Raw genomic sequence first — 23878 nt, 5'->3', positions numbered from 1 at the left:
AAGTCTGTTGGCATAAAGGTATTCATAATTTTACATTATGAAATTGTTTATTTGAGACAGGGTCTCACTCTGTTGCCCAGGCTGGAGTACAGTGGTTCAATAATGGCTCAGTGCAGCCTCCACCTCCCAGGCTCAAGCCACCATCTCTCTTCAGCCTCCCAAGTAGCTGGGACCACAGGCACGTGCCACCATGCCCAGCTAATTTTTGTATTTTTGGTAGAGACGGGGTTTTGCCATGTTGCCCAGCCTGGTCTCAAACTCCTGAACTTGAGCATTCCTCCCACTTCAGTCTCCCAAAGTGCTGGGATTACAGGTGTGAGCCATCGTTCTTGGCCTGCAAGTTATGACTTCCTTTCAGAGTCTTTCTATCTGTAGTACAGTCCTCCTGTGCAAGATTGTTGTTTGACTGCTTTTTCTTGACAAATCTTGCTAAAGGTCTGTGAATTTTATAATGTATTTTTAAAGAACCAGATTTTAGCAGGGCATGGTGGCTCATACCTGTAATCCCAGCACTTTGAGAGGAAAAGGTGGGAAGATCGCTTGAGCCTGTAAGGGGGAGGCTGTACTAAGCTGTGATTAAGCCACTACACTCCAGCCTGGGCAACAGAATGAGACCCTATCTGAAAACCAAAAGAACCACAAGTTTTAGCTTGGCTGATTCTATTGTGTGTTTCTTTTGTATTTCATTTGTTTGTTATGTTTTTCCTTTTTCTTTCTTTGAATTTAACTTGTTCTTTGTCTGATTTGTTGACTGATGCTCAGGTTTTTTTTTTTTTTTTTTTTTTTTTTGAGACGTAGTCTCACTCTTTCACCAGGCTGGAGTGCAGTGGCACAATCTCGGCTCAAGCAATTCTCCTGCCTCAGCCTCCCGAGTAGCTGGGACTACAGGTGTGTGCCACCACACCCAGCTAATTTTTGTATTTTTAGTAGAGATGGGGTTTTACCATGTTGGGCAGGATTGTCTCGATCACTTGACCTCATGATCCACCTGCCTCGGCCTCCCAAAGTGCTGGGATTACATGCTTGAGCCACTGTGCCCGGTCTGTTGATGTTTTTCCCAAGTTCCTTTTCTAATGTTCTCATTTAAGACTATAAATTTCCCCAGCCTGGACAACATGGTGAAACTTTATCTCTACCAAACACACAAAAAATTAGCCAGGTGTAGTGGTGTGAGCCTGTGGTCCCAGCTACTCAGGAGGCTGAGGTGGGAGGCTCACTTGAGCCCAGGAGGTGGAGGGTAGTAAGCCAAGATTGTGCTACTGCACTCTAGCCGGGGTGACAGAGTGAGACCCCATCTCAAAAAAAAAAAAAAAAAAGACTATCATTTTCCCCTTATGAATGGATTTAATTATATCCTACAGTTTTAAATATGTAGAATTGATGATGAATTTGCCTTATTTTATCTTCAAGCTATGGGCTATTTAAAAGTATACTTTTAGAAAGTTTCTAAAATTGTTACCAGAAATTATGATCTCTCCACTTTCTTTGAAATTTTTTACTTGTTTTAACACTCGTCTATATGGTTAATTTTTGAACGTGTCCACAGTTTCTTGAAGGGAAGTCTATTTCTGCAGTTAAATCTCATGTTCTGTATGTGTGCATTTAGTCTATTTTTTCATAATTTTAAATCTTCATCCTCCCTAATTATTTTTATACTTTATTTACTGAGAGATATATTAAATATCCTACTAGAAGCATGGATTTGTCTGTCTCCTCATCTGTCAACTTTTGCTTTTTGAGGCTGTACTTGGGTGCATATGATTCAAAAAATATACATCTTTTTTTTAATTTGAACTTTTATCAAAATGAAATGTTTTCCTTCATTTATGTATGCTTTCAACATTATGTATGATATAGCTATGGTAACTTTGGTTAAACTTTGCACTGTGTATCTTTCACGTGTGTGTGTGTGTGTGTGTGTATTTTTTTTTCCACTGTGCTGCCAAGGCTATAGTGCAGGGGCTGTTCACAGGCGTGACTGTGGCTCTCTGCTGCCTTAAACTCCTGGGCTCAAATGATCCTCCTACCTCAGTCTTTAGAGTGATGTGTGCCACCACTGCCAAATAATTGTTTTTATTTCTTTAGAGATAGAATTTGGCTATATTGCCCAGGCTGGTCTTGAGCTCTTGGTCTCAAGTGATCCTCTCACCTCTGCTTCCTGAGTCACTGGGATTACAGGCATGTGCCGCCAAGTCCAGCTCCTCTGATACATATTTTAATACCTTTTAAAATCATTCTATATCTTTGTATTTTAAATATGACTTATAAATAGCATGGAATGGGATTTTAACAATTTATCCATCTTTAATTGGATTACTTAGTCCATTTGCATGTATTTGTATTCTGACATACTTGGATTCTGTATAGATGGTGAGTGGTGTGTATGTACATGCATGTGTGTTTGTGTCATTTTGTCACTTTCTATTTATCCTACTTATGTTTCTTTTTTCCTTTCTTGCCTTCTTTTCAATTGGTGGGATTTTTTTCTTCTCTAGTCATTTTAAGTTAGTCTTTGTTTATATTCTTTTAGTAACTGTCATGCTAATTTAAATGTGCATATTTAAGTTATGAAAGTTGAAAATTTATCCTCCTCCTGGGTGATAGGATAACTTAAGAATACTTTCATTGCATTAAACTCCTCTTGAGTTATGCTACAACAGTATATTTTCAACTTTTTGTTTTGACATAATTGCAGATTCACAGGTGCTTTTAAGAAATAATATAAAGAAATCCAATATAGTCTTCACTCAGTTTCTCCCAATGGTAACGTCTTGCATAACTACCTTGTTCAGATTTCACCAGTTTTATGTGCACTTTTAGGTTTTTTTGTGTATTTAGTGCTATGAAATTTTATCGTGTACATAGATTAGATACCTAATCACCATCACCATCGTCAAGATATAGAAGAGTTCCATCAGAAGGATGGATCCCTTGTGCTACCCATTTTATAGTCACAAACACGTTCCTCACTCCCTGACCCCTGGCAACCACTAATGGGTTTTTCATCTCTGTAACTTTATTTCAAGAACACATGTAAATGAATCCATACAATGTCTAATATTTTGAGATTGAGTTTTTTTATTCAGCATAATTATCTTGTGACCCATCAAAGTTGTTTTGATATATTTTATCATTTTTCTTTTTATATTTCATGGGACATTACTTCTATTGTTTTATACATTTCACATTTGTTTAGTTTTATCCATATATTCACCTGTCTTTTTCCTGCTCTTCATTTCTTCTTATATCCCAGATCTTCCACTTGGGATCATTTTCCTCCTGTCTGAAATCTTTTAGTATCTGTTTAGTAATGATTTCCTTGGGCGAGCTCCCTCAATTTCTGCACATTTCAAGCTCTATTATGTTAGTCTCGTACTTAATTTTTTTTATTGTGGTATGAGAGGCATACAGGTAAGGAGATCATGAACGTACAACTCAAAATTTTCACATAGTTAACACCTAAGAAATGGATATGACCAGCAACCCAGAAGTCTCTCTTCTGTTTTCTTTTAGTTGCTGCTCTTACCTCCTCCCAAGACAGGGTGATCTGCCTGCCTTGGCCTCCCAAAGTGCTGGGATTACAGGCATGAGCCACCGCGCCTGGCCTAAAATGACCATCTTGTCTTTTGAGACAGAGTCTTGCTCTGTCACCCCAGCTGGAGTGCAGTGGCATGATCATGGCTCACTGCAGCCTCAATCTCCCTGGCTCAAGCGATCCTCCCACCTTAACCTCCTGAGTAGCTGGGACAGGAGGCACACATGCCACACCCAGCTCAATCTACTGGGCTCAAGCAAAAAGTATCTCCTATTCTGACTTTTTACACTATAGATTAGTTTTCCTATTATTCGCTTTATAAATGGGATCTTTTCTTTTGGCTGCTTTTCTCAGCTTTAGGCTTGTGAGCTCTATCCATGGTGTTGCACATGGCAGTGGTTTGTTTATTGTTGTGTGCATTCAGCTTTACTAATATTGCACAATATGTTTATCTGTTCTGCTGTTGGCTGACATTCAGGTTCTTCCAAGCTTGGGTCCATTATGAGTAATGCCATTATTAACTAACTTTCTTTCTTTCTTTCTTTCTTTCTTTCTTTCTTTCTTTCTTTCTTTCTTTCTTTCTTTCTTTCCTTCCTTCTTTCCTTCTTTCCTTCTTTCCTTCTTTCCTTCTTTCTTTCTTTTCTTTCTTTCTTTCTTTCTTTTCTTTCTTTCTTTTCTTTCTTTTCTTTCCTTTCTTTCTTTCTTTCTTTCTTTCTTTCTTTCTTTCTTTCTTTCTTTCTTTCTTTCTTTTTGGAGATGGAGTCTTGCTCTTGTCACCCAGGCTGGAGTGCAATGGCACAATCTCAGCTCACTGCAACCTCCACCTCCTGGGTTCAAGCAATTCTCCCTGCCTCGGCCTCCCAAGAAGCTGGGATTACAGGTGCCCACCACCACGCCTGGCTAATTTTTTTTTAGTAGAGACGGGGTTTTACCATGTTGGTCGGGCTGGTCTCGAACTCCTGACCTCAGGTGATCTGCCTGCCTCGGCCTCCCAAAGTGCTGGAATTGCAGGCATGAGCCACTGTTCCCGGCCCTGAACTTTCTTGTCCTTACCTTTTGGTGCACACCTGTGTACTTTAATTTGATCTCTGTCTGGGAGTGCAAGTGCTTTATAGAGCATGTGTACAGTTTTAGGAGATACTGCTAAAAATTTTGCAGTGGCTGTATCAGTTTACAATCTGCCAGCTGTTGATGAAGGTTCCAGTTGTTTCCCATCCTTCTGTTATAGGAAAGGTGTCCTGATCTAGACTCCAAGAGAGGGTTATTGGATCTGGTGCAAGAAAGAATTCAGGGCGAGTCCATAGAGTAAAGTGATAGCAAGTTTATTAAGAAAGTAGAAGAATAAAAGAATGGCTACTCTATAGACAGAGCAGCCCGAGGGCTGCTGGTTACCCATTCTTATGGTTATTTCTAGATAATATGTTAAACAAGGGGTGGATTATTTATGCCTCCTTTTTTTTTTTAAGACCATGTAGGGTAAATTTCTGATATTGCCATGGCATCTGTAAACTGTGGTGGCGCTAGTGGGAATGTAGCAGTGGGAGGACGACCAGAGGTCTACAGGTATTTTTGGTAATCATCTTGAGAAATAAAGACTTCATAAATCATCTTACAGTTATGATAATATATAACAACCATATTTCAACTGAATGCAAAGTTGTACCTTTTCATACCCCCACTGTGTTATTAATATCACATATTATCTTTTCTTATTGAGTAACTATGAACACACATTTATGCAGATTTATGCTTCATTTTTTAAACTCCATAGCAATATTTTGAAAATTTTGTGCACCATCATTATGACAATAGAGATTTCTATACCTGTTTATATATTTACCTTTAATATAGCACTTTCTATTTTCATATGCTGTTATGATGCTGTGCAGCATCATTTCATTTTTGTACTTGATAGACTTTCTTTTACATTTCCTTTACGACTGATCTAGTGGTTAGTAACACACTCAACTTTTATTTATTCTGGAAAGGCTTATTTTTTTTTTTTTATTTCTGAAGTGAAATTATTCCAGTTGAAGGTTTTTGTTTGGCAGTATATCTTCTTGTTTAATTACCTTGTCATCTGGGGATTTCTCAGCTACTTTTTAAAAATAATCTCTTTATTACTTTTCTGCTGTATTTTTTTTCTAAGACTCCATTTATAAATACAATGGTCTACTTGATGGTGTGCAGTACGTCCCATATTTTTTTCTCTATTCTGTTTAAATAATTTGTTTTCATGACTCAGTATTTATAACTACAGTATCATCAACTAGTTATTGTGTTGTTCAGATTCACAGTTTTTGTTGGTTTTTAAAAATCTTTTTATTGATATCTCATTTTCTTTATGTATCACTTCTAATATTATTTTGTTGTCTATGCTCTGTTTTTGTTAATTACGTAGTTTTTTTCTAATTACATTTTATTGAAAACTGCACTGAATGCTAAATGTCCATCTTTACAATAAACAACTACAGTAACGTTAACTCGCACTAAAACAAAGGATACTTCTGATAGCCATTATTTTTCTGTTTGTGACAATTTTAAAGTTTTTCTTTTGTCACAAAAACAGGAAGGTACCTAACCAAACGATCAAAATAGGCCATTTTTTAAACAAAAAGGCAATGATTCACAAAAGACTATGAACAGAACATGTAACTAATCGATGCAAATCAAATAGGATTTGTTAAAATCAGTCACATCCAATACATCTGAAGTGTTCTTGTATAAAATACAACGTGAAGAAAAGAAGACTTTATCAGTGTCTTAAAAAGTGGATTTGTTCATAGACAATCTGACAAGTTACCACTAAAAGTGTTTCTTGTGACAGAAAAAGCAACATTATTTTTCTTGAGTCTTTTTAGTGCAAGACTTTCCACTCAATAAAATAGCAGAGCATCTGAAACTGAGAAAATATTTTTGATTACAAACAGCTTGTGAAACTTAATACTGTTTTTTTTTTTTTTGCATTATCGGAGGCTTTTTCTGAACTTACAACCAACTTGCCCACTCAGCATGCAGTTCAGATGTGAGAGACGCTTCTCTGTACAGGAGCCGGTACTGTCTTCAATCCTATGCGTGCAGGTGTCTACCACAGGCAAATAGTTTACTCCACATTTTCTAATAATGTGATCTTCCTATTAGCAAAAAGCTGTAACCAGTCCCTGTAGACTGAAGGGACTCAAGTGACAAGATGGGGATTTCCTCCTCATGGTTTTTATTTTGATGTTTGAAGTCCTGATGCAACATTCTGAGCAGGGTGTTCCTGACCTGCTGTGCCCAAGGGACTGATAAAGGAAAAAGTTCTATTTATTCTTTGTGATTTGACGCACAGATGAAAAACTTAACACACAATAACGGAAGCTGGTCGTTAATAAATCACACCCTAGTCTTTCAGAGCTTCCGTAAACAGACAACATCTTCAACTTTCTAACGCTTGTAGTTTTAACACTGCAACATCAATAATGCATATGTCCAGAATCAGCTAAAAAGAGCGTCAGATTCTTTTTCTCTTAGTTCATCTATTTTTCACTGTCCTTGTTCCCAAGTGTATCAAAATGATTACCTTCCGGCATTCACTACTATTTCTCGTTGGGTTGCTCTCGATTGTCCCCGTGATTGTGGGCTGGTTGGGAGAGGGCGCTTGGGAAGTATGTGCCACTGTCGGGAGGTTGTGAGTCACTGGGATGCCTCCAGGGATGATCCCTTCCATGGACGCAGGAAGTCCTCCTGGAGCCACGCCCACGATGACTGGATGAATTGCTTGCTGGTCTATTACTGACCAAAGCACAGATGTGACAAAGAATTCCTTGTTCACACAGTTTCTTTTTTTTTATTTTTATTATTATTATACTTTAAGTTTTAGGGTACATGTGTACAACGTGAAGGTTTGTTACATATGTATACATGTGCCATGTTGGTGTGTTGCTCCCATTAACTCGTCATTTAGCATTAGGCATATCTCCTAATGCTATCCCTCCCCTCTCCCCCCACCCCACAACAGTCTCCGGTGTGTGATGTTCCCCTTCCTGTGTCCATGTTTCTCATTGTTCAATTCCCACCTATGAGTGAGAACATGCAGTGTTTGTTTTTTTGTCCTTGCGATAGTTTGCTGAGAATGAGGGTTTCCATCTTCATCCATGTCCCTACAAAGGACAGGAACGCATCCTTTTTTATCGCCACATAGTATTCCATGGTGTATTTGTGCCACATTTTCTTAATCCAGTCTATCGTCGTTGGACGTATAGGTTGGTTCCAAGTCTTTGCTATTGTGAATAGTGCAGCAATAAACATATGTGTGTATGTGTCTTTATAGCAGTATGATTTATAATCCCTTGGGTACATACCTAGTAATGGGATGGCTGGGTCAAATGGTATTTCTAGTTCTAGATCCCTAAGGAATCGCCACAGTGACTTCCACAATGGTTGAAGTAGTTTACAGTCCCAACAGTGTAAAAGTGTTCCTATTTCTCTACATCCTCCCCAGCACCTGTTGTTTCCTGACTTTTTAATGAACGCCATTGTAAATGGTGTGAGATGGTGTCTCACTGTGGTTTTGATTTGCAATTGTCTGATGGCCAGTGATGATGAGCATTTTTTCATGTGGGTTTTGGCTGCATAAATGTCGTCTTTTGAGAAGTGTCTGTTCATATCCTTGGCCCACTTTTTGATGGTGTTGGTTGTTTGTTTTTTTCTTGTAAATTTTTTTGAGTTCATTATAGATTCTGGATATTTGCCCTTTGTTAGATGAGTAGGTTGCAAAAATTTTCTCCCATTCTGTTGGTTGCCTGTTCACTCTGATGGTAGTTTCTTTTGCTGTGCAGAAGCTCTTTAGTTTAATTAGATCCCATTTGTCAATTTTGTCTTTTGCTGCCATTGCTTTTGGTGTCTTAGACATGAGGTCCTTGCCCAAGCCTATGTCCTGAATGGTATTGCCTAGGTTTTTTTTCTGTGTTTTTTATGGTTTTAGGTCTAACATTTAAGTCTTTAATCCATCTTGAATTAATTTTTGTAAAAGGTGTAAGGAAGGGATCCAGTTTCAGCTTTCTCCATATGGCTAGCCAGTTTTCCCAGCACCATTTATTAAATAGGGAATCCTTTCCCCATTGCTTGTTTTTCTCAGGTTTGTCAAAGATCAGATAGTTGTAGATATGTGGCATTATTTCTGAGGGCTGTGTTTTGTTCCATTGGTCTATATCTCTGATTTGGTACCAGCACCATGCTGTTTTGGTTACTGTAGCCTTGCAGTATAGTTTGAAGTCAGGTAGTGTGATGCCTCCAGCTTTGTTCTTTTGGCTTAGGATTGACTTGGAGATGAAGGCTATTTTTTGGTTCCATATGAACTTGAAAGTAGTTTTTTCCAATTCTGTGAAGAAAGTCATTGGTAGCTTGATGGGGATGGCATTGAATCTATAAATTACCTTGGGCAGTTTGGCCATTTTCACAATATTGGTTCTTCCTACCCATGAGCATGGAATGTTATTCCATTTGTTTGTATCCTCTTGTATTTCATTGAGCAGTGGTTTGTAGTTCTCCTTGAAGAAGTCCTTCACATCCCTTGTAAGTTGGATTTCTAGGTATTTTACTCTCTTTGAAGGAATTGTGAATGAGAGTTCACTCATGATTTGGCTCTCTGTTTGTCTGTTATTGGTGTATAAGAATGCTTGTGATTTTTGCACATTGATTTTGTATCCTGAGACTTAGCTGAAGTTGCTTATCAGCTTGAGAAGATATTGGGCTGAGACAGTGGGGTTTTCTAGATATACAATCATGTCATCTGCAAACAGGGACAATTTGACTTCCTCTTTTCCTAATTGAATACTCTTTACTTCCTTCTCCTGCCTAATTGCCCTGGCCAGAACTTCCAACACTATGTTGAATAGGAGTGGTGAGAGAGGGCAACCCTGTCTTGTGCCCATTTTCAAAGGGAATGCTTCCAGTTTTTTCCCATTTAGTATGATATTGGCTGTGGGTTTGTCATAGATAGCTCTTATTATTTTGAGATAGGTCACATCAATACCTAATTTATTGAGAGTTTTTAGCATGAAGTGTTGTTGAATTTCGTCAAAGGTCTTTTCTGCATCTATTGAGATAATCATGTGGTTTTTGTCATTGGTTCTGTTTATATGCTGGATTACGTTTATTGATTTGTGTATGTTGAACCAGCCTTGCATCCCAGGGATGAAGCCCACTTGATCATGGTGGATAAGCTTTTTGATGTTCTGCTGGATTGGGTTTACCAGAATTTTTAATGAGGATTTTTGCATCAATGTTCATCAAGGATATTGGTCTAAAATTCTCTTTTTAGATTGTGTCTCTGCCAGGCTTTGGTATCAGGATGATGCTGGCCTCATGAGTTAGGGAGGATTTCCTCTTTTTTCTGTTGATTAGAATAATTTCAGAAGGAATGGTACCACCTTCTCTATGTACCTCTGGTAGAATTCGGCTGTGAATCCATCTGGTCCTGGACTCTTTTTGGTTGGTAAGCTATTGATTATTGCCACAATTTCAGCTCCTGTTATTGGTCTATTCAGAGATTCTTCTTCTTCCTGGTTTTGTCTTGGGAGGATGTATGTGTCGAGGAATTTATCCATTTCTTCTAGATTTTCTAGTTTATTTGTGTAGAGGTGTTTATAGTATTTTCTGATGGTAGTTTGTATTTCTGTGGGCTCGGTGGTGATATCCTTTTTGTCATTTTTTATTGCATCTATTTGATTCTTCTCTCTTTCTTTTTTGTTAGTCTTGGTAGCAGTCTATCAATTTTGTTGATCTTTTCAAAAAAACCAATCTCTGGATTCATTAATTTTTTGAAGTGTTTTTTATGTCTCTATTCCCTTCAGTTCTGCTCTGATCTTAGTTATTCCTTGCCTTCTGCTAGCTTTTCAATGTGTTTGCTCTTGCTTTTCTAGCTCTTTTAATTGTGATGTTAGGGTGTCAATTTTAGATCTTTCCTGCTTTCTCTTGTGGGCATTTAGTGGTATAAATTTCCCTCTACACACTGCTTTGAATGTGTCCCAGAGATACTGGTATGTTGTGTCTTTGTTCTCATTGGTTTCAAAGAACATCTTTATCTCTGCCTTCATTTCATGATTTACCCAGTAGTCATTCAGGAGCAGGTTGTTCAGTTTCCATGGAGTTGAGTGGTTTTCAGTGAGTTTCTTAATCCTAAGTTCTAGTTTGATTGCACTGTGTTATGAGAGACAGTTTGTTGTAATTTCTGTTCTTTTACGTTTGCTGAGGAGTGCTTTACTTTGAACTATGTGGTCAATTTTGGAGTAGGTGTGGTGTGCTGAAAAGAATGCATATTCTGTTGATTTGGGGTGGAGAGTTCTGTAGATGTCTATTAGGTTCGCTTGGTGCATGGCTGAGTTCAATTCCTGGGTATCCTTGTTAACTTTCTGTGTTGTTGATCTGTCTAATGTTGACATTAATCTGCCCTGTAGGCAGATCCTAGACAAGAGTTGCATCACCTGTGTGATCAGTGCAGAGATATTTCACAATGCCTCCTGTAGGCAGAGGGTAGACAAGTGTTACATCAGCTAGGTGATCATTGCAGAGATATTTCACAATACCCACTGTAGGCAAATCCTAGACAAGAGTTGCCTCACCTGGGTGATCAGTGCAGACATATTTCACAATGCCCCCTGTAGGCAGAGGGTAGACAAGAGTTACATCACCTAGATGATCCGGGCAGAGATTTGTCAAAATTCCCTGTAGGTAGAGATTATAAAAGTGTTACATCACCCAGGTGATCAGTGCAGAGATATGTCATAGGCACCTGTAGGCAGAGCTTAGATGAGTTACATCACCTGGGTGATCCGTGTAAAGATATGTCACAAAGCCCACTGTAGGCAAAGCCTAGACAATAGTTACATCAGTTGGGTGATCAGTGGACAGATCTCTCACAATTCCCCTGTAGGCAGAGCTTATACAACAGTTACATCACCTGGGTGATCAGTGCAGAGATATGTCACAAAGCCCCCATAGGCAGACGCAAGACAAGAGTCCATCACCTGGGTGCTCAGGGCAGAAACACGTCACAATGTCCCCATAGGCAGAGCCTAGAAAAAAGCCACATCACCTGGATAATCAGTGCAGAGTTATGTCACAAAGTCCCTTTAGGCAGATCCTAGACAAGTGTTACATCACCTGGTTGATCAGGGCAGAGATATGTCACAATGCCACTGTAGGCAGAGCCTAGACAAGAGTTACATGACCTAGGTGATCAGTGCAGAGATACATCGCAATGCCCCTGTAGGCAGAGCCTTGACAAGTGGTATATCACCTGGGTGACCATTGCAGGGATATATCAAAAAGCACCCTGTAGGCAGATCCTAGACAAGAGTTACATCACTCGGGTGATCAGGGCAGAGATATGTCACAGTGCCATGTAGCGAGAACCTAGACAAAATTTCATCACCTGGGAGATCAGTGCAGAGATATGTCACAATATCCCCAGTAGGCAGAGCCCAGACAAGAGTTGGATCACCTCGGGATCAGTACAGAGATATGTCTCAATCCCCCTGTGGGGACAGCCTAGACAAGAGTTACATCACCTCGGTTAACAGTGCAGATATATCTCAAAATGTTCCTGTAGGCAGAGCCTACACAAGTGTTACATCACTTAGGTGATCAGTGCAGAGATATGTCACAATACCCCCTGTAGGCAGAGCCTAGACAAGAGTTACATCACCTGAGTGATCAGTGCAGAGATATGTCACAATGCCCCCTATAGGCAGAGCCTAGACAAAAGTTACATCACCTGGGTGATCAGTGCAGTGTTACATCAAAATTCCTCTGTAGGCAGAGCCTAGACAAGAGTTACATCATCTATGTGATCAGTGCAGTGATATGTCACAAAAATCCCTGTGGACAGAGCCTAGACAAGAGTTACATCACCTGAGTGATCAGTGCAGATATTTCACACAATGCCCCCATAGACAGAACCTAGACAAGAATTCCATCACCTGGGTTATCAGTGCAGAGACTATGTCACGAATCCACCTCTAGGCAGAGTATAGAAAATAGTCCCATCACCTGAGTGATCAGTGCAAAGATATGTCACAATAACCCCTGTAGGCAGAGCCCAGACAAGAGTTACATCACCTGGGTGATCAGAGCAGAGATATGTCACAATGTCCCTGTAGGCAGAGCCCAGACAAGAGTTGCATCACCTCGGTGATCAGTGCAGAGGTATGTCTCAATGCCTCCTGTAGGCAAAGCCCAGACAAGAGTTACATCATCTCGTTGATCAGTGCAGAGATATGTCAAAATGCCCCTGTGAGCAGAGCCTAGAAAAAATTTACATCACCTGGGTGATCAGTGCTCAGACAAGTCACAATGTCCATGTAAGCAGAGTCTAGACAAGTGTTACATCACCTGGGTGATCATTGCAGAGTGATGTCACAATGCCCTCTGTAGGTAGATACTAGACAAGAGTTACCTCACCTGAGAGATCAGTGCGGAGATGTGTCACAACGCACTCTGTAGGCAAACAATAGTCAAGAGTTACATCACATATGTGATCAGCGCAGATATATGTCACTATGTTCCTGTGGCCACGCATAGAAAAGAGTTACAACATCTGGGTGATCAATGCAGAGATATGTCACGATGTCTCCAGTAGGCAGAGCGTAGACATGAGTTACATCACCTCGGTGATCAGTGCAGAGATACCTCAAAATACCCCCTGTAGGCAAAGTCTAGACAAGAGTTACATCAACTGGGAGATCAGTGCAGAGATATGTCAAAAATCCCACTGTAGGCAAAGCCTAGACAAGTTTTAAATAACCTCAGTGATCAGTGCAGAGAAGTGTCCCAGGACCCATGTAGTCAGAGCTTAGACAAATGTCACATCTCCGGATTGATCATTGCAGAGATACGTCACAATGCCCCCATAGGCAGAGCCTGGACAAGAGTTACATCACCTAGTTGATCAGTGCAGAGATATGTCACAAAGTCCCCTGTAGGCAGAGCCCAGAGAAGAGTTACATCACCTGGGTGATCAGTGCAGAGATATGTCACAAAGTCCCCTGTGGCAAAGCCTAGGCAAGAGTTACATCACCTTTCTCGTCAGTTCAGAGATACATCAAAATGCCTCTGTAGGTAGAGCCTAGACAAGAGTTACATCACCTAGTTGATCAGTGCAGAGATATTTCACAATACCCCCTTTAGGCAGTTCCTAGAGAAGAGTTGCATCACCTGGGTGATCAGTGCAGAGATATATCAAAATGCCCCCTGTAGGCAGAGCCTAAACAAGAGTTACATCACCTAGGTGATCAGTGCAGAGATTTGTCAAAATTCCCTGTAGGCAGAGCTTATAAAACTGTTACATCACCTAGGTGATCAGTGCAGAGATATGTCACAAAGCCCCCTGTAGGCAGAGCCTAGACGAGAATTCCCACCCCGGGAGTGATCAGTGCAGAGATATATCACAAGGCCCCTGTAGGCAGAGCTTAGATGAGTTACATCACCTGGGTGATCAGTGAACAGATATGTCACAAAGCCCCGTGTAGGAAAAGCCAAGACAATAGTTAAATCACTTGGGCGATCAGTGGAGAGATCTCTCACAACTCACAAGTAGGCAGAGCTTATACAACAGTTACATCACCTCGGTGATCAGTGCAGAGATATGTCATAATGCCCCCATAGGCAGATGCAAGACAAGAGTCCGTCACCTGGGTGATCAGAGCAGAAATACGTCACAATGCCCCCGTAGGCAGAGCCTAGACAAAAGCCCCATCACCTGGATGATGAGGGCAGAGTTACGTCACAAAGACCCTTTAGGCAGATCCTAGACAAGAGTTAAATCAGTTGGGTGATCAGAGCAGAGATATGTCGCAATGCCACTGTAGGCAGAGCCTAGGCAAGAGTTACATGACCCAGGTGATCAGTGCAGAGATACATAACAATGCTCCTGTAGGCAGAGCCTTGACAAGTGGTACATCACCTGGGTGATAATTGCAGGCATATGTCACAAAGCACCCTGTAGGCAGATCCTAGACAAGAGTTACATAACCTGGGTGATCAGTGCAGGGATATGTCACAATGCCAGTGTAGGCAGAGTCTAGACAAGAGTTACATGACCTAGGTGATCAGTGCAGAGATACATCGCAATGCCTCTGTAGGCAGAGCCTTGACAGATGGTACATCACCTGGGTGAGCAGTGCAGAGATATGTCACAAGGTCCCTGTAGGCAGAGCCTAGACAAGAGTTATATCACCTGGGTGATAAGTGCAGTGATATGTCACAATGCCGTGTAGCCAGAGCCTAGACAAAAGTTTCATCACCTGGGAGATCAGTGCAGAGATATGTCACAATGTCCCCAGTAGGCAGAGCCCAGAAAAGAGTTGGATCACCTCGGGATCAGTGCAGAGATACGTCTCAATCCCCATGTGGGAACAGCGTAGACAAGAGTTAAATCACCTTGCTTATCAGGGCAGAGTATGTCAAAATGCCAGTGTAGGCAGAGCCTACTCAAGTGTTACATCACTTAGGTGATCAGTGCAGAGATATGTCAAAATACCCCCTGTAAGCAGAGCCTAGACAAGAGTTTCATGACCTAGGTGATCAGTGAAGAGATACACAGCAAAGCCCCTTTAGGCAGAGCCTTGACAAGTGGTATATCACCTGGGTGACCATTGTAGGGATATGTCACAAAGCACCCTGTAGGCAGATCCCAGACAAGGGTTACATCACCTGGTTGATCAGTAAAGATATATTTCAAAATGCAACTGCAGGCAGAGCGTAAGCAAGAGTCCCATCACCAGGGTGATCAGTGCGGAAATATGTTGCAATGCCCCCATAGGCAGACCCAACATAAGAGTTACATCACCTGGGTGATCAGTGTAGAGATATGTCACAATGCCCCCATAGGCAGAGCCTAGACAAAAGTCCCATCACCTGGGTGATCAGTGCAGAGATATGTCACGAAGCCCCTGTAGGCAGAGCTGAGACAAAAGTTACATCACCGGGATGATCAATACATAGTGATGTCACAAAGGACCTTGTAGGCAGAGCCTAGAGAAGAGTTGCATTACCTGGGTGATCAGTGCAGAGATATGTCACAATACCCCCTTGAGGCAGAGCCTAGACAAGAGTTATATCACCTGGGTGATCAGGGCAGATAGGTCACAAGCACCCTGTAGGCAGAGCCCAGACTAGAGTTGCATCATCTCGGTGATCAGTGCAGAGATATGTCTCAATGCCTCCTGTCGGCAAAGCCCAGAGAAGAGTTACATCTTCTCCGTGACCAGTGCAGAGATATGTCAAAATGCACCTGTGGGCAGAGCCCAGACAAAATTTACATCACCTGGGTGATCAGTGCAGAGACATGTCACAATGTCCATGTAGGCAGAGCCTAGACAAGGGTTACATCACCTGGGTGATCATTGCAGAGTGATGTCACAACGCCCTCTGTAGGCAGATACTAGACAAGAGTTACCTCACCTGAGAGATCAGTGCAGAGATATGTCACAACGCCCTCTGTAGTCAAAGACTAGAAAAGAGTTACATCACCTGTGTGATCAGTGCAGATATATGTCACTATGTCCCTGTTGCCAGAGCCTAGACAAGAGTTCCATCACCTGGGTGATCAGTGCAGAGATAAGTCACAATGTCTATCACAATGTCTCCAGTAGGCAGAGCCTAGACAAGAGTTACATCACCTGGGTGATCACGTCAGAGATATGTCACAATGCCCCCTGTGGGCAGATCCCAGACAAGAGTTGCATCACCTCGGTGATCAGTGCAGTGATATATTAAAATGCCCCTGTAGGCAGAGCCTAGACAGGAGTTACATCACCTGGGTGATCAGTGCAGAGATATGTCACGATGTCCCCTGTAGGCAGAGCCTAGGCAAGAGTTACATCACCTTTGCCATCAGTTCAGAGATATGTTAAAATGCCCCTTTAGGCAGATCCTAGACAAGACTTGCATCACCTGGGTGATCAGTGCAGAGATTTTTCACATTGCCCCCTGTAGGCAGAGGGTAGAAAAAAGTTACATCACCTAGGTGATCAGTGCTGAGATATTTCACAATACCCACTGTAGGCAGATCCTAGACAAGACTTGCATCACCGGGGTGATCAGTGCAGAGATTTTTCACATTGCCCCCTGTAGGCAGCGCGTAGAGAACTGTTAAATGACCTAGGTGATCAGTGCAGAGATTTGTCAAAATTCCCTGTAGGCAGAGCTTATAAAAGTGTTACATCACCTACGTGATCAGTGCAGAGATATATGTCACAAAGCTCCCTGTGGGCAGAGCCTAGCCAAGAATTCTCTCTCCAGGAGTGATAAGTGCAGAGATATGTCACAAAGCCCCTGTAGGCAGAGCTTAAATGAGTTACATCACCTGGGTGGTGAGTGCAAAGTTATGTCACAAAGCCCCCTGTAGGCTAAGCCTAGGCAATAGTTACATTACTTGGGGGATGAGTAAAGACATCTCTCACAATTCCCCTGTAGGTAGAGCTTATACAACAGTTACACCACCTGGGTGATCAGTGCTGAGATATGTCACAATGCCCCCATAGGCAGATGCAAGACAAGAGTCCGTCACCTGGGTGATCAGTGCAGAAATAAGTCAGAATGCCCCCGTAGGAAGAGCCTAGACAAAAACCCCATCACCTGGATGATCAGTGCAGGGTTCTGTCACAAAGTCCATTTAGGCAGATCCCAGACAAGAGTTATATCACCTGGGTGATCAGTGCAGAGATATGTCACAATGCCACTGCAGGCAGAGCCTAGACAAGAGTCACATGACCTAGGTGATCAGTGCAGAGATACATCGCAATGCCCCTTTAAGGAGAGCCTTGACAAATGGTACATCACCTGGATGATCATTGCAGGGATATGTCACAAAGCAGCCTGTAGGCAGATCCTAGACAATAGTTATATCACCTGGGTGATCAGTGCAGAGATATGTCACAATGCCACTGTAGGCAGAGCCCAGACAAGAGTTATATCACATGGGTGATCAGTGCAGAGATATGTCACAATGCCACTATAGGCAGAGCCTAGACAAGAGTTATATCACATGGGTGATCAGTGCAGTGATATGTCACAATGACGCGTGGCCAGAGCCTAGGCAAAGGTTACATCACCGGGGAGATCACTGCAGAGATATGTCACAATGCACTCTGTAGGCAAAACCTAGAGAAGAGTTGCATCACCTGGGTGATCAGTGCAGAGATATGTTACAATGCACCCTGTAAGCAATGCCTAGACAAGAGTTGCATCACCTCGGTGATCAGTGTAGAGATATGTCTCAATTAGTCCTGTCGGCAAAGCCCAGAGAAGAGTTACATCATCTCGGTGATCAGTGCAGAGATATGTCAAAATGCCCCTGTGAGCAGAGCCTAGACAAAATTTACATCACCTGGGTGATCAGTGCAGAGACATGTTACAATGTCCATGTAGGTAGAGCCCAGACAATGGTTACATCACCTGGGTGATCATTGCAGAGTGATGTCACAACGCCCTCTGTAGGCAGAGACTAGACAAGAGTAACCTCACCTGAGAGATCAGTGCAGAGATATGTCACAACGCCCTCTGTAGGCAAAGACTAGGGAAGAGTTACATTACCTGTGTGATCAGTGCAGATATATGTCACTATGTCCCTGTGGCCAGAGCCTAGACAAGAGATACATCACCTGGGTGATCAGTGCAGAGATAAGTCACAATGTCTCCAGCAGGCAGAGCCTAGACAAGAGTTACATCACCTGGGTGATCAGGTCAGAGATATGTCACAATGCCACCCGTAGGCAGATCCCAGACAAGAGTTGCATCACCTCGATGATCAGTGCAGTGATAAGTTAAAATGCCCCTGTTCGCAGAGCCTAGACAAGAATTATATCACCTGGGTGATCAGTGCAGAGATCTCACAATACCCCTGTAAGCAGAGCTTAGGCAAGAATTACATCAACTGGGAGATCAGTGCAGAGATATGTCATAAATCCTACTGTAGGCAAAACCTAGACAAGTGTTACATCACCTCAGTGATCAGTGTAGAGATATGTCCCAATGCCCCTGTAGGCAGAGCTTAGACAAGAGTTACATCACCTGGGTGATCAGTGCAGAGATAAGTCACAATGCTCCCATAAGCAGAGCCCAGACAAGAGTTACATAACCCGGGTGATATGTGCAGAGTGATGTCACAACACCGTCCGTAGGCATAGACTAGAAAAGAGTTACATCACCTGGGTGATCCGTGCAGAGATATGTCACAATGTCCCCTGTAGGCAAAGCCTAGGCAAGAGTTACATCACCTTTCTCATCAGTTCAGAGATATGTCAAAACGCCCCTGTAGGCAGAGCCTAGAAAAGAGTTACATCACCTAGTTGATCGGTGCAGAGATATTTCACAATACCCCCTGTAGGCAGATCCTAGACAAGAGTTGCATCACTTGGGTTATCAGTGCAGAGATATTTCACAATGCCCCCTGTAGGCAGAGGGTAGACAAGAGTTACATCACCTAGGTGATCAGTACAGAGATTTGTCAAAATTCCCTGTAGGCAGAGCTTATAAGTTTTATATCACCTAGGTGATCAGTGCAGAGATCTCTCACAAAGGCCCCTGTAGGCAGAGCCTAGACAAGAATTCTCTCCACGGGGTGATCAGTGCAGAGATATGTCACAATGCCACTGTTGGCAGAGCCTAGATAAGAGTTACATGACTTAGGTGATCAGTGCAGATACATCGCAATGCCCCTGTAGGCAGAGCCTTGACAAGTGGTACATCATCTGGGTGATCATTGCAGGGATATGTCACAAAGCACCCTGTAGGCAGATCCTAGACAAGAGTTACATCACCTGGGTGAGCAGTGCAGAGGTATGTCACAAGCCTCCTGTAGGCAGAGCCTAGACAAGAGTTATATCACCTGGGTGATAAGTGCAGTGATATGTCACAATGCCGTGTAGCCAGAGCCCAGACAAATGTTACATCACCAGGGAGATCAGTGCAGAGATATGTCACAATGTCCCCAGTAGGCAGAGCCCAGAAAAGAGTTGGATCACCTCGGGATCAGTGCAGAGATACGTCTCAATCCCCCTGTGGGAACAGCGTAGACAAGGGTTAAATCACCTTGCTTATCAGGGCAGAGGTATGTCAAAATGCCACTGTAGGCAGAGCCTACTCAAGTGTTACATCAGTTAGGTGACCAGTGCAGAGATATGCCAAAATACCCCCTGTAAGCAGAGCCTAGACAAGAGTTATATCACCTGGGTGATCAGTGCAGAGATATGTGACAAGGCCCCTTTAAGCAGAGCCTAGACAATGGTTACATCACCTGAGTGATCAGTGCAGAGATCTGTCACGGTGCCCCTTTAGGCAGAGCTTACACCAGAGTTACATCACCTGGGTGAGCAGTGCAGAGATATGTCACAATGCCCCCATAGGCACATCCAAGACAGGAGTCCGTCACCTAGATGATCAGTGCAGAAATATGTGACAATGACCGCTGTAGGCAGAGCCTAGAGAAGAGTCCCATCACCTAGGTGATCAGTGCTGAGTTATGCCACAATGCCCTCTGTAGGCAGAGCCTAGACAAGATTTACATCACCTGGTGGTTCAGTAAAGAGATATTTCACAATGCCCCTGCAGGCAGAGCATAAGCAAGAGTTACATCACCTAGATGATCAGTGCAGAGGTATGTCACAAGGCCCCCTATAGGCAGAGCCTGGACAACAGTTACATCACCTCGGTGATCAATGCAGTGATATGTCACTATGCGCCAGTAGGCAGAGCCTAGTCAAGCATTACATCACCTGGGTCATCAGTGCAGAGATATGTCACAAAGCCCCCATACACAGAGCCTAGACAAGAGTCCCATCACCAGGGTGATCAGTGCAGAAATATGTCACAATGCCCCCTAGGCAGATCCAACACAAGAGTTAAATCACCTCGATTATCAGTGTAGAGATATGTCAAAATGCCCCCGTAGGCAGAGCCTAGACAAAAGTCCCATCACATGGCTGATCAGTACAGAGATATGTCACAAAGCCCCTGTAGGTAGAGCCTAGACAAGAGTTACATCATTTGGTTTATCAATTCAGAGATGTGTCACAATGCCTATGTAGGCAGAGCCTAGACAAATGTTTCATCAGCTGGATGAGCAGTGCAGAGATATGTGACAAGGCCCCTTTAAGCAGAACCTAGACAATAGTTACATCATCTGAGTGATCAATGCTGTGATATGTCACTATGCCCCAGTAGGCAGAGCCTAGTCAAAGGTTTCATCACGTAGGTGATCAGTGCAGAGATATGTCACAAAGCCCCCATACACAGAGCCTGGAAAAGAGTCCCATCACCTGGGTGATCAGTGCAGAAATATGTCGCAATGTCCCCATAGGCAGATCCAACACAAGAGTTATATCACCTGGGTGGTCAGTGTAGAGATATGTCACAATGCCCCCGTAGCAGAGCCTAGACAAAAGTTCCATCAGCTGGGTGATCAGTGCAGAGATATGTCACAAAACCCCTGTAGGCAGAGGCTAGACAAGAGTTACATCGCTTGGTTGATAAGTTCAGAGATGTGTCACAATGCCCATGTAGGCAGAGCCTTGACAAGTGTTCCATCAGCTGGGTGATCAGTGCAGAGATATGTCGCAATGCCCCCTATAGGCAGAGCCTAGACAAGAGTTACATCACCTGGGTAATGAATACAATGATACATCAAAATGCCCCTGTAGGCAGAGCCTAGACAAGAATTAAATCATCTAAGTGATCAGTGCAGTGATACGTCACAAAAATCCTTTCAGACAGAGCCTAAACAAGAGTTACATCACCTGGGTGATCAGTGCAGATATTTGACACAATGACCCCATAGACAGAGCCTAAACAAGACTTCCATCACCTGGGTGATCAGTGCAGAGATATGTCACAAAGACCCCTGTAGGCAGAGCCTAGAGAAGAGTTGCATTGCCTGGGTGATCAGTGCAGAGATATGTCACAATACCCCCGTAGGCGGAGGCTAGACAAGAGTTATATCACCTGGGTGATCAGTGAAGTGATACATCAAAATGCCTCTGTAGGCAGAGCCTAGATGAGAGTTACATCATCTAGGTGATCAGTGCAGTGATATGTCACAAAAATCCCTGTAGACAGAGCCTAGACAAGACTTCCATCACCTGGGTTATCGGTGCAGAAATGTCACAAATCCCCCTTTAGGCAGAGTATAGAGAAAAGTCCCATCACCTGAGTTATCAGTGCAGAGATATGTCATGAAGACCCCTGTAGGCAGAGTGTAGGGAAGAGTCCCATCACCTGTGTTATCAGTGTAGTGATAAGTCACAATGCCGCTGTAGGCAGAGAGTAGAAAAGAGTTGCATTACCTGGGTGATCAGTATGGAGATATGTAACAATGCCCCCTCAGGGCAAAGCCTAGAAAAGAGTTATATCGCCTAGTTGATCAGTGCAGAGGTACGTCACAAAGCCCCCTGAAAGTACACCCTAAAGAAGAGTTACATCACCTGGGTGATCAGTGCAGTGATATGTCACAATTCCCCTGTAGGCAGAGCCTAGAAATGGGTTACATCACCTGGGTGATCACTATAGAGATGTGACAAATCCCCCTTTAGGCAAAGCCTAGAAAGGAGTTGCATCATCTGGGGAATCAGTGCAGAGATATCTCACAATGCACCCATAGGGAGAGCTTAGACAGGGTTCACATCACCTCAGTGATCAGTGCAGAGGTATGTCACAATGCCCCCTTAGGCAGAGCCTAGACAAAAGTTACATCACCTTGATGATCAATACAGAGTGATGTCACGAAGCACCTTGTAGGCAGAGCCTAGAGAAGAGTTAAGTCACCTGCGTGATCAGTGCAGAGATATGTCACAATGCCCCCTGTAAGAAGAGCCTAGAGAAGAGTTGCACCACCTGGGTGATCAGTGCAGAGATATATTACAATGCCCCCTGTAGGCAAAGCCTAGACAAGAGTTACATAACCTCGGTGATCACTTCAGAGATATGTCAAAACGCCCCTGTAGGCAGAGCCTAGAAAAAGTTACATCACCTATGTGATCAGTGCAGAGATATGTCACAATACCCCCTTTAGGCAGAGCCTAGACAAGAGTTACATCACCTGGGTGATCAGGGCAGAGATATGTCACAATGCCCCCTGTAGGCAGAGCCCACACAAGAGTTGCATCACCTCCGTGTTCAGTGCAGAGATATGTCTCAATGTCTCCTGTCGGCAAAGCCCAGAAAAGAATTACATCATCTAGGTCATCAGTGCAGAGATATGTCAAAATGCCCCTGAGGGCAGAGCCTAGAAAAAATTTACATCACCTGGGTGATCAGTGCAGAGACATGTCACAATGTCCATGTAGGCAGAGCCTAGACAAGAGTTACATCACCTGGGTGATCAGTGCAGAGATATGTCACAATGTCTCCAGCAGGCAGAGCCTAGACAAGAGTTACATCACCTCGGTGATCAATGCAGAGATATGTCACAATGCCCCCTGTAGGCAGATCCCAGACAAGAGTTGCATCACCTCGGTGATCAGTGAAGTGATATGTCTCAAAGACCTCTGTCAGCGAAGCCTGTACAAGTTACATCATCTCGGTGATCAGTGCAGTGATATGTTAAAATGCCCCTGTAGGCAGAGCCTAACAAGAGTTACATCACCTGGGTGATCAGTGCAGAGATATCTCACAATACCCCCTGTAAGCTGAGCCTAGACAAGAGTTACATCAACTGGGTGATCAGTGCAGAGATATGTCATAAATCTCACTGTAGGCAAAGCCTTGACAAGTGTTACATCATCTCAGTGATCAGTGCAGAGATATGTCCCAATGCCCCTGTAGGCAGAGCTTAGACAAGAGTCACATCTCCTAGATGATCAGTGCAGAGATACGTCACAGTGCTCCCATAGGCAGAGCCTAGACAAGACTTACATAACCCTGGTGATCCGTGTAGAATGATGTCACAACGCCCTCTGTAGGCAGAGACTGGAAAAGTTACTTCACCTGGGTGATCAGTGCAGAGATATGTCACAATGCCGTTTGTAGGCAGAGCATAGAGAAGAGTTGCATCACCTGGGTGATCAGTGCAGAGATATGTCACAATGTCCCCTGTAGGCAAAGCCTAGGCAAGAGTTACATCACTTTTGTCATCAGTTCAGAGATATGTCAAAACGCCCCTGTAGGCAGAGCCTAGACAAGAGTTACATCACCTAGTTGATCAGTGCAGAGATATTTCACAATACCCCCTGTAGGCAGAGGGTAGACGAGTTACATCACCCAGGTGATCAGTGCAGAGATATTTTACAATACCTCCTGTCAGCAGATCCTAGACAAGAGTTGCATCAACTGGGTGATCAGTGCAGACATACTTCACAATGCCCCCTG

General features: G+C 43.0%; 1 pseudogene, besides 6 other annotated features; it reads right to left on the bottom strand.

The window, feature by feature from the left end:
- Positions 1-6231: 6231 nt before the first annotated feature.
- CTBP2P1 (CTBP2 pseudogene 1) lies at positions 6232-7359 on the bottom strand (annotated as a pseudogene).
- Positions 11657-12156: an enhancer, noted in NCBI's record as "H3K27ac hESC enhancer chrY:58996593-58997092 (GRCh37/hg19 assembly coordinates)". NCBI's record gives its function as "activates a minimal SCP1, AML or CMV promoter by ChIP-STARR-seq in naive and primed H9 embryonic stem cells {active_cell/tissue: H9 hESC(naive and primed)}" and the evidence as "EXISTENCE:reporter gene assay evidence [ECO:0000049][PMID:30033119]".
- Positions 15181-15682: an enhancer, noted in NCBI's record as "OCT4 hESC enhancer chrY:58993067-58993568 (GRCh37/hg19 assembly coordinates)". NCBI's record gives its function as "activates a minimal SCP1, AML or CMV promoter by ChIP-STARR-seq in naive H9 embryonic stem cells {active_cell/tissue: H9 hESC(naive)}" and the evidence as "EXISTENCE:reporter gene assay evidence [ECO:0000049][PMID:30033119]".
- Positions 16884-17426: an enhancer, noted in NCBI's record as "OCT4 hESC enhancer chrY:58991323-58991865 (GRCh37/hg19 assembly coordinates)". NCBI's record gives its function as "activates a minimal SCP1, AML or CMV promoter by ChIP-STARR-seq in naive H9 embryonic stem cells {active_cell/tissue: H9 hESC(naive)}" and the evidence as "EXISTENCE:reporter gene assay evidence [ECO:0000049][PMID:30033119]".
- Positions 20038-20539: an enhancer, noted in NCBI's record as "OCT4 hESC enhancer chrY:58988210-58988711 (GRCh37/hg19 assembly coordinates)". NCBI's record gives its function as "activates a minimal SCP1, AML or CMV promoter by ChIP-STARR-seq in primed H9 embryonic stem cells {active_cell/tissue: H9 hESC(primed)}" and the evidence as "EXISTENCE:reporter gene assay evidence [ECO:0000049][PMID:30033119]".
- Positions 20948-21692: an enhancer, noted in NCBI's record as "OCT4 hESC enhancer chrY:58987057-58987801 (GRCh37/hg19 assembly coordinates)". NCBI's record gives its function as "activates a minimal SCP1, AML or CMV promoter by ChIP-STARR-seq in primed H9 embryonic stem cells {active_cell/tissue: H9 hESC(primed)}" and the evidence as "EXISTENCE:reporter gene assay evidence [ECO:0000049][PMID:30033119]".
- Positions 22694-23291: an enhancer, noted in NCBI's record as "OCT4-NANOG hESC enhancer chrY:58985458-58986055 (GRCh37/hg19 assembly coordinates)". NCBI's record gives its function as "activates a minimal SCP1, AML or CMV promoter by ChIP-STARR-seq in primed H9 embryonic stem cells {active_cell/tissue: H9 hESC(primed)}" and the evidence as "EXISTENCE:reporter gene assay evidence [ECO:0000049][PMID:30033119]".

The sequence above is a fragment of the Homo sapiens genome, chromosome Y (genome assembly GCF_000001405.40).
Source record: "Homo sapiens chromosome Y, GRCh38.p14 Primary Assembly".
Taxonomy (NCBI): domain Eukaryota; kingdom Metazoa; phylum Chordata; class Mammalia; order Primates; family Hominidae; genus Homo; species Homo sapiens.
This window is presented reverse-complemented; position numbering and strand designations above follow the sequence as displayed.